A 10,455-nucleotide genomic window follows, 5' to 3' on the forward strand; every position below is an offset into this window, starting at 1 on the left:
TTGCCCAGAAAATAGTTAGCCTGAGAAAGGACAGAACACCCCAAGCATGTCTTCACATGAATCTTTTGCTTTCCAGGGCTCTGCTTCTCAGAATCTGCACTCCTGTAGCTGTTCTGAGCAACCAGAGGCCACCTACGGAGACAACAGGCTGCCCAGAAAGCCACATGAGGAGCTCCATTTCCCTCCCTTTGCAGGCTCCAGACTGGCCTCAGGTTGGAGTCACTGGCTGCAGGCGCTGCTGCCCACTGCAGGTTCTTCACCTGCTTCTCACCAGCACTGATCAGCTACATGAGACAAAGACTCTCTATCGTACTGTATGAGAAAGAAACCAGCAAAGTCCTACGTTTCCTCCTGTGTTTACATACAAATCAGAGGAAGAAAATCTTAAAATATTTTATATGGATTAAAACACTGGAGTGGGCGTAAGTAATGGCTTGTGCCTGTAATCCCAGCACTTTGGGAGGCTGCAGTGGGAGGATCGCTTGAGCCCAGGAATTCAAGACCAGCTTGGGCAGCATAGATTTTCACCTCTAGAAAAAAATTTAAAAACTTAGCAGTGCATGGTGATGCGCATCCATGGTCCCAGCTACTCAGGAGGCTGAGGCAGGAGGATCACTTGAGCCTAAGAGGTCAGCACTGCAGCGAGCCAAGATTGTGCCACTGCACTCCAGCCTGGGCAACAGAGTTAGACTCTGTCTCTAAAAAGATTTAAATAAATATATTTTAAAATTGGCAAATAAGCATTCCTTTTAGAAAACAAAGATGCTAGCGAACTATTATTTTCACATTAACACTTATGAAAAGAACTAATCAAATGTGAGCTCTTCCCTTTTTTCTCTGTTTCAGTGGCCACCTGACCTTCACAGTACATGGTTGTCACCAGGTGCTCTGTGGCTGGGGATGTTCATGTCCAGTTTATCCATCTGAATCTCTCTCAACCCCACCCCACCACCATTGACCCACCCAATTATTTCTGTAGCTAAACATTAAGCATTGTATAAATAACTGTCCCTTTCAAAGAGGACTCAGGTTGAATACACCTGTGATTCTCTCAGATCCTCTGATATAATCATTTGCATTTGTCTTCCAGGATAGACTGTGATATCTTGAGTAGGAACCTCATTCATTGTATTTGCTTCTGTTCCCCCAAACCTGTGTCACCACCTGATCATTGAGGACACAGAAAATTTATTTTATTTATTTTTTTGAGATGGAGTCTCACTTTTTTTTTTGAGATGGAGTCACCCAGGCTGGAGTGCAGTGGCATGATCTCAGCTCACTGCAACCTCCACCTCCCACGTCAAGCGATTCTCCTGGTCAGCCTCCAGAGTAGCTGAGATTACAGGCATGCCTCACCAAACCTTGCTAATTTTTTTGCATTTTTAGTAGAGACAGGGTTTCACCATGTTGGCCAGGCTGGTCTCGAACTCCTGACCTCAAATGATCCACCCGCCTCAGCCTCCCAATGTGCTGGGATTACAGGCATGAACCACCGCGCCCAGCCAACACAGAATATTTTAAGCTGACCATCAACCTGCTGTAAACATTGGAGATCTCAGCACAACCCTAAAACATCCACACCCCAGGGAGAGTATACAGATATTAACGTGCCCTCACTACAAGGAGCTCCACTGACTCCCTTTCTGGAAAATGACTCAAATCGGTTTTCTGGAGGACTATATGCAATTAATAGATATAAAAATAACATGTTGTTTGCTTTTATTTACATGATTTACCATTTCTGTTTGTTTTTGAGACAGGGTCTTAGTCTGTCACCCATGCTGGGGTGCGGTGGCTTAATCTTGGCTCACTGCAACCTCCACCTCCTGGGCTCAAGCAATCCTCCCACCCCAACCCCTTGAGTAGCTGGGACTACAGGTGTGCACCAACATGTTTGGCTAATATTTAAATTTTTGGTAGAGATGAGGTCCCACTATATTGCCCAGGCTGGTCTCAAACTCCTGAAATCAAGCAGTTCTTCTGATTCAGCCTCCCTAAGTGCTGGGATTACAGGCGTGAGCCACTGTGCCTGGCTGATTTAACTTTCATAGGTTGTTAAGAAAGCGATTAACCCTGTGAACCATGGTTGGATTTCACTGATTCTCAAAACTTGTAGTGAATTCTTATAATTTTATGTTGCCTTGACATCCATTTTAAATACAAGTTTAACTTTCTCATAGGAGAAGCAGGGTTTATTCACTGTTAACACTGTTTCCAGTTCTCCACCTCCTCCCAGTTCCTTAATGTAGTGAATCCATATATCTGCCTTAGACAACTGATACCCAGTGACCACCTCGTTATAGGACAGCCAGATATAACGTTCATACTGGCCTCACTGACCCCCACGCTTCATATGAACTGTGTAGGTGTGCTACAGTAACCACCTCTCAGTCACACTGTGATCTCCTTGAACTTGTGCCTGCTTGCTTTAAACCCATCAATTAAAATTCCCTAGGGGAAACTTTTGTGTCTTTTTTGGTTTGTTTGTTTTTGAGTCGGCGTCTCGCTCTGTCGCCCAGACTGGAGTGCAGTGGCATGCTCTCGGCTCACTGCAACCTCCACCTCCCAGCTTCAAGCAATTCTCCTGCCTCAGCCTCCCAAGTCTCTGGGACTATAAGCACGTACCACCACGCCCGGCCAATTTTTTCTATTTTTAACAGAGTTGGGGTTTCACCGTGTTAGCCAGGATGGTCTTGATCTCCTGACCTCGTGATCCACCGGCCTTCGCCTCCCAAAGTGCTGGGATTACATACGTGAGGCACCTCGCCCGGCTGTATCCCTAGGGGAAACTTTCGGTAACACCCTGGACTCTAATAAAGGTACTGACCCATGGGTTCATCCATTTCTCCCTTTCTCTCCATGTGGTCCCTCTGTGTGTGTGGCCTCCGTGTATACTGTGTATCCTCCAGGACCTGTAAGTAATAAAATCCTTATTTCCATCTTATGTCTCTCGTAATCATTGAAAGGGTGCTCTCCATTTTAAAGATCCTAAATTATTACAATTGGTATAGTTGGCAGGATACAGAGTGATTCTCATGATTAGCACAAGTTATCTTTGAGTTGCTATAGCTTATTAACATCATAAATCATCTGGGCAACCACACTGGTGAGGTAGTAGTATTTGCTGTAATAAATGAAATAGAGATGAAAAAACAACACAAGGCCAGGCGTGGTGGCTCACGCCTGTAATCCCAGCACTTTGGGAGGCCAAGGCAGGCGGATCATGAGGTCAGGAGATCGAGACCATCTTGACTAACACGTTGAAATCCCGTCTGTACTAAAAATACATAAAAAAAAAATTAGCCAGGCATAGTGGCAGGTGCCTGTAGTCCCAGCTACTCCGGAGGCTGAGGCAGGAGAGTCACTTCAACCTGGGAGGCAGAGGTTACAGTGAGCCGAGATCGCGCCACTGCACTCCCGCCTGGGTGACAAAGCAAGACTCTGTCTCAAAAAAAAAAAAAAAAAAGAAAGAAAGATCAACAAAATGAAGAGTTTTTTTAAAAAGGTAAAATCAGCAAAGCTCTAGCCTGACTCACTAGATAAAAATAGCAGATTCAAATAAAGAAATTCAGATGTGAAAAAAAAGGAGTTGGCCGGGCATGGTGGCTCACACCTATAATCCCAGCACTTTGGGAGGCCAGGCGGGTGGATCACCTGAGGTCAGGAGTTCGAGACCAGCCTGGCCAACATGGTGAACCCCGTCTCTACTAAAAATACAAAAATTAGCTGGGCTTGGTGGCGGGCACCTGTAATCCCAGCTACTCGGGAGTCTGAGGCAGGAGAATCGCTTCAACTGGGGAGGCAGAGGTGACAGTGAGCTGAGATCGTGCCATTGCACTCCAGCCTGGGAGACAAGAGCGAGACTTCATCTCAAAAAAAAAAAAAAGAAAAGAAAAGAAAAAGAAAAAAAAGGAGTTGGCTGGGTGTGGTGGCTCACGCCTATGATCCCAGCACTTTGGAAGGCTGAGGAAGGAGGATCACTTGAGGTCAGGAGTTCAAGACAAGCCTGGCCAACATGGTAAAACCCCGTCTCTACTAAAAATACAAAAAATTAGCTGGGCATGGTGGCGCATGCCTGTAATCCCAGCTACTCAGGAAGCTGAGACAGGAGAATCACTTGAACACGGGACGGGGAGGTTGCAGTGAGCGGAGATCGCACCACTGCACTCCAGCCTGGACGACAGAACAAGACTGTCTCAAAACAACAACAAAACAACAAAAAAAACAGGGTCATTCCAACTTATACTAAAGAAATAGAAAGAATTATAAAACAGACTATTATGAACAACTACACACCAATGAATTGGAAAACCTAGAAGAAATAGATAAATTCCTGGGCACGTACAACCTATCAAAATTGCGTCGTGAAGAAATAGAAAATCTGAACAGACTAATAAGAAGTAATGAGGTTAAATCAGTAATAAAAAGTGTCCCATCAAAGAAAAGCCCAGGACCTGATGGCTTCACTGCTGAATTCTACCAAACAAACACAACTAAAAAGTACAGGCCAACATCCCTGATTAACATAGATGTAAAAATCCTCAACAAAATACATGCAAACTGAATTCAACAGCACATTGAACAGACCATTCACCCTGACCAAGTAGGATGTATCCCATGGGTGTAGGGATAGTTCAACATATGGAAACCAATAAACGTGATACATCACAGTAACAGAATCAACAAGAAAAAAATATCATTTCAATATATGCAGAAAATGACTTGATAACATTCCATATATTCATGATAAAAACTCACAACAGGGCCGGGCGCAGTGGCTTATGCCTGTAAACCCAGCACTGTGGGAAGCCGAGGCGGGATCATGAGGTCAAGAGATCGAGACCATCCTGGCCAGCATGGTGAAACCCCATCTCTACTAAAAATACAAAAAATTAGCTGGGCGTGGTGGCACATGCCTGTAGTCCCAGCAACTCGGGAGGCTGAGGCAGGAGGATCACTTGAACCCAGGAAGCAGAGGATGCAGTGAATTGAGATCGTGCCACTGCACTCCAGCCTGGCGACAGAGTGAGACTCCGTCTCAAACAAAACAAAGCAAAACAAAACAAAAAAAACTCACAACAAATTAGGTATAGAAGGAACATATCTCAACACAATGAAAGCTTTATATGACAAACCTACGGCAAACATCATACTGAACAGGAAAAAAATGGAATGCTTTTTCTCTAAGATCTGGAATAAGATAAGCACTCCCACCACTTCTAGTCAATGTTGTATTGGAAGCCCTCATCAGAATTATTAGACAAAAAAGAACAACAAAGGAAGGGAGGGAAGGAAGGAGAAAAGCCAACCAAATTGGAAAAGAAGAAGTAAAATTACATTTTTGCGGACAAGATTGTATATATAGAAAACCTTGCCGGGCACGGTGGCTCACGCCTGTAATCCCAGCAGTTTGGGAGGCTGAGGCGGGTGAATCACAAGGTCAGGGGTTCAAGACCAGCCTGACCAACATGGTGAAACCCCCGTCTCTACTAAAAATACAAAAATTAGCTGGGCGTGGTGGCAGACGCCTGTAATCCCAGCTACTCAGGAGGCTGAGGCGGGAGAATTGCTTGAACCTGACAGGCGGAGGCTGCAGTGAGCCAAGATCGTGCCACTGCACTCCAGCCTGGCAACAGAGCGAGACTCTGTCTCAAAAAAAAAAAAGAAAAAGAAAAAAGAAAACCCTAAAGACACCACCAAAAAATTGTTAGAACTAAAACAAATGCAGCAAAGTTGAAGGATATGAAAATCAACATATAAAAATCAGTAGTGGCCCCAGCCTGGCCAATATGGTGAAACCCCATCTCTACTAAAAATATATAAAAAAAAAAAAAATTAGCCAGGCATGGTGGCAGATGCCTGTAGTCCCAGCTACTCGGGAGGCTGAGGCAGGAGAATCGCTTGAACTTGGGAGGCAGAGGTTGCAGTGAGCCGAGATCGTGCCACTGCACTCTAGCCTGGGCAAGAGAGCGAGACTCTGTCTCAAAAAAAAAAAAAAAAAAAAAAATTCAGTAGTGTTTCTATATGCCAACAGCAAACTATTAGAAAAAGGCATCAAGAAACCAATTCCATAGATGATAGCTACAAAAATAAAATATTTAGGAATAAATATAACCAAAGAGGTGAAAGAGCTCTACAATAAAAACTATAAAATGCCGGTGAAATAAATTGAAGAGGACACAAATAAATAGGAGGATATTCTGTGTTCATGGACTGAAAGAATTAATATTTTTCTTTTCTTTTTTTTTTTTTTGTTTTGAGACAGAGTCTCACTCTGTCACCCCAGGTTGGAGTGCAGTGCTGTGATCACAGCTTACTGCAGCCTTGATGTTCCGGGCTCAAGTAACCTTCCTGCCTCAGCTGGGACTACAGGCACACACCACCACGCCCAGCTAATTTTTTAAAAATTTGTTGTAGAGACGAGGTCTCACTGTTTCCTGGGCTAGTCTCAAACTACTGGGCTCAAGTGATCCTTCTGCCTCTGCCTGCCAAAGTGCTGGGAATACAGATGTGAGCCACCATGCCCAGCTTAGAATATTCTTCAAATGTCCATACCACCCAAAGCAATTTGCAGATTCAAGTGTGATCCCTATCAAAATACAAGAGCCATACTTCACAGAAATCGAAAAAATTATCCTAAAATTCATATGGAACCACAAAAATAGCCAAAGCAATCTTGAGTATGACTTCACAATAGACTACAAATCTAAAGTAACCAAAAAAGCACCGTACTGGCATAAACATAGACAGACCAGTGGAACAGAATAGAGAAACCAGAAATAAATTCACACACTTACCAACGATTTTTGACAAAGGTGCCAAAAACACAGACTGGAGAAAGGACAGTCTCTTCAATGAATGGTGATGGGAAAACTGGATTATCAACATGCAGAACATTGAAACTGGACCCCTATCTTTCACCATATACAAAAATCCACTCAAAATGGATTACGGACTTACATGTAAGACTTGAAACTGTAAAACTACTAAAGGAAAACAGTAAAATTCTACATGACCTTGTCTGTGCAAGGACTTTGTGGATAAGAACTCAAACACACGGGCAGCAAAAGCAAAAACAGACATGAGATTACATCAAACATCTCAATCCCAGCATTATCTCACTCATTCCACCTCTGGGAGTTACTCTGGGGCAGTCTCTGGCTGGATTCATCTTTCTCTGTGCTCTGCACAGACCTAGTACCAAGGGGACTAGAAGCAGCATTTACTTGTTCACTAAAAAAGGGGTATCTGCAGGAAGGTGCTGCAGTTCAGGCTGTGGCCACGCTGGGGCATCAGTAGACAGGTAAAATGTAGTAAGATAACCCACAGAAGGTGCATCGTGACGTGCTTGACAGTAATTCTGTCTGAAGCGTTTTGTTTTGCTTTGTTTTGTTTGAGACAGGGTCTCACTCTGTCACACAGATTGAAGTGCGGTGGCATGATCTCAGCTCACTGCAATCTCCGCTTCCCAGGTTCAGGCGATTCTCCTGTCTCAGCCTCCCGAGTAGCTGGAATTACAGGCGTGTACCACCACACCCGGCTGATTTTTATATTTTTAATAAGAGACGGGGTTTCACCACGTAGGCCAGGCTGGTCTTGAACTCCTGACCTCAAGCTATCTGCACACCTCGGCCTCCCAAAGTACTGGGATTACAGGCGTGAGCCACTGTGCCTGGGCATAAAGTGTTTCCATTAGCAGTACTCATGTTGCGGTATTATTGTCATCATCATCATTTTCATAAAGTAGAAAGTAAAACTTCTCTCAATGGTACCCATAATTTACACTGAAGATGTAACTATTCCTTGAGAACAAGATAGAACCTGGCCTGGGAAACAGCACTAATGCTTGTAAATTAGTTCTGTGACAACTATTCTGATTTCTTCTATGGTTGCTTATTCTTCCATACCATGTAAGTAAATTCCGTGATTATTAGTTTTGGGTGATTCATGCTTTCCCCACTAGAAAGAACAATTTGGTTTATTACGCTATCTTCCACCCGTTTCTCCAACACCAGTCACTATTTCAGTCAGAGCATGAAGAAAAATAATTTTGGAAATGGAAACCTGATGTTCTGCCATTTAAAGGTACTTCATGAAATCCACTCCAAGAGGGATCACTTGCTTCATTTCCTTGCAGAGTTGTTTTTTGTTTTTTTTTTTTTTTTTGCGATGGGGTCCCACTCTGTCGCCCAGGCTAGAGTGCAGTGGTGCAATCTTGGCTCACTGCAACCTCCGCCTGCTGGGTTCAAGCAATTCTCCTGCCTCAGCCTCCTGAGTAGCTGGGATTACAGGCGTCAGCCACCATGCATGGCTAATTTTTCGTATTTTTAGTAGAGTTGGGGTTTCACCATGATGGCCAGGCTGGTCTCAAACTCCTGACCTCGTGATCCATCCGCCTTACCCTCCCAAAGTGCTGGATTACAGACATGAGCCACTGTGCCTGGCCCATTTATTTCTTTATTGTGCAAGCAGTGACTTATTTATCCACTGCTTTTTTTTTTTTTTTTTTTTGAGATGGAGTCTGGCTCTGTCACCTAGGCTGGAGTGCAGTGGCGTGATCTCAGCTCACTGTAACCTCTGCCTCCCAGGTTCAAGCAATTATCTTGCCTCAGCCTCCCAAGTAGCTGGGATTACAGGTGTGCACCACCACACCCAGCTAATTTTTCTGTTTTTAGTGGAAATAGGGTTTCGCTGTGTTGGCGAGGCTGGTCTCGAACTCCTGGCCTTAAGTGATCTGCCTGCCTCGGACTCCCAAAGTGCTGGGATTACAGACATAAGCCACCACACCAGGCCTGGCTCTCCATTTCTTGAACACCACCTTTACCCCAGGTACAGAATTAGTGGTAAATAGTTACACATTACCTATTACATAAACTTTCCATACCTAAGAAGTTCTCTCCCACCTTTTCTGGACACTATATGCTGCTATTTCTTCTCATATTCTTAAAGATTTCCGAGCAAAGAATTTCTATTTGCTTAAATTATCAGATATATATTTGATATACATGTCTGTGAATAGTGTGCAGAGGAAATTAAAAGTATCCCTCTTCAATAAAGGGAAGTGGTTATCATAGGCCCTGGGTCTGGGAGTGAGGTCCAGGTCTACAGTGAAGGGGGGAGGAGACAGGGAAGTCAATCCTGGGGATCAAATCTAAATGCCTACTAAAATCCAAATGGACTGTGTAGGAACAGGTCCCTCATGGATAGAAAAACGAAAAAAACAGTGCTGAGAACAAGTAGGAAAGAGACCTAGAGACTAGGCGCAGTGGCTCACGCCTGTAACCCCAGCACTATCGGAGGCCGAGGCGGACAGATCACTTGAGATCAGGAGTTCAAGACCAGCCTGGCCAACATGGCGAAATCCCGTTTCTACTAAAAATACAAAAATTAGCTGGGTGTGGTGGTGCGCACCTGTAATCCCAGCTACTCAAGAGGCTGAAGCATGAGAAGCCTTTGAATCTGGGAGGCAGAGGGTGCAGTGAGCCAAGATCTCACCACTGCACTCCAGCTTGGGCGACAGAGCAAGACCCTATCTCAAAAAAAAAAAAGAGAGACCTAGAGTGTCTTGGTATGCTGAAGGTCCCACAAGGTCTATGCAGTACTGTGGTCTTTTCTCCCTTTTTTGTGTGTAAAACATACATAAAATTCACCATCATAATCAATTTTAAGTGTACAGTTCAGTGCCATTAAGAACATTCATACTAGTGTGCAACCATCACCACCATCCACCTCTGGAACCCTTTTTATCTTGCAAAATTGAAACTCTATGCCCATGAAATAACTATCCATTACCCAATTTCCCTAACCTTTGGCAAATGGTATTGTACTTTTTCTATCAATATGACTACTCTAGATACCTGATATAAGTAGAATCATACCGTATTGTCTTTACATGAATGGCCCATTTCACTTAGCACGTCAAGGTTCATCTTGCAGCATATTTGTAAATTTCCTTACTTTGTAAGACTCAGTAATATTCTCTTGTATGTATAAACTTCCTTTTGTTTATTCATCTGTTGATGAAAACCTGAGTAGTTTCCAGAGTTTACCTATTGTGAATGATGCTATGTACACAGGTGTACAAAACCTATTTGAGACTTTGCTTTCAATCTTTTTTGTTTTGTTTTGTTTTTTGAGACGGAGTCTTGCTCTCTCACCCAGGCTGGAGTGCAGTGGCGCGACCTCAGCTCACTGCAAGCTCTGCCTCCCGGGTTCATGCCATTCTCCTGCCTCAGCCTCCCGAGCAGTTGGGACTACAGGCGCCTGCCACCACGCCCGGCTAATTTTTTTTTAGTAGAGACGGGGTTTCATCATGTTAGCCAGGATGGTCTCAATCTCCTGACCTTGTGATCCGCCTGCTTCGGCCTCCCAAAGTGCTGGGATTACAAGCGTGATCCACCACGCCCGGCCCTGCTTTCAATCTTTTTATTTTCCCAGAAATGGAAATGCTGATCA

At 44.1% G+C, this 10,455-nt stretch overlaps 1 annotated feature.

The window, feature by feature from the left end:
• Window positions 7,118-7,412: a silencer, noted in NCBI's record as "tiled region #13330; HepG2 Repressive non-DNase unmatched - State 18:Pol2". NCBI's record gives its function as "represses a minimal TATA promoter and a strong SV40 promoter by Sharpr-MPRA in HepG2 cells {active_cell/tissue: HepG2}" and the evidence as "EXISTENCE:reporter gene assay evidence [ECO:0000049][PMID:27701403]".

This window comes from Homo sapiens, chromosome 19, assembly GCF_000001405.40.
Source record: "Homo sapiens chromosome 19, GRCh38.p14 Primary Assembly".
Lineage (NCBI taxonomy): Eukaryota > Metazoa > Chordata > Mammalia > Primates > Hominidae > Homo > Homo sapiens.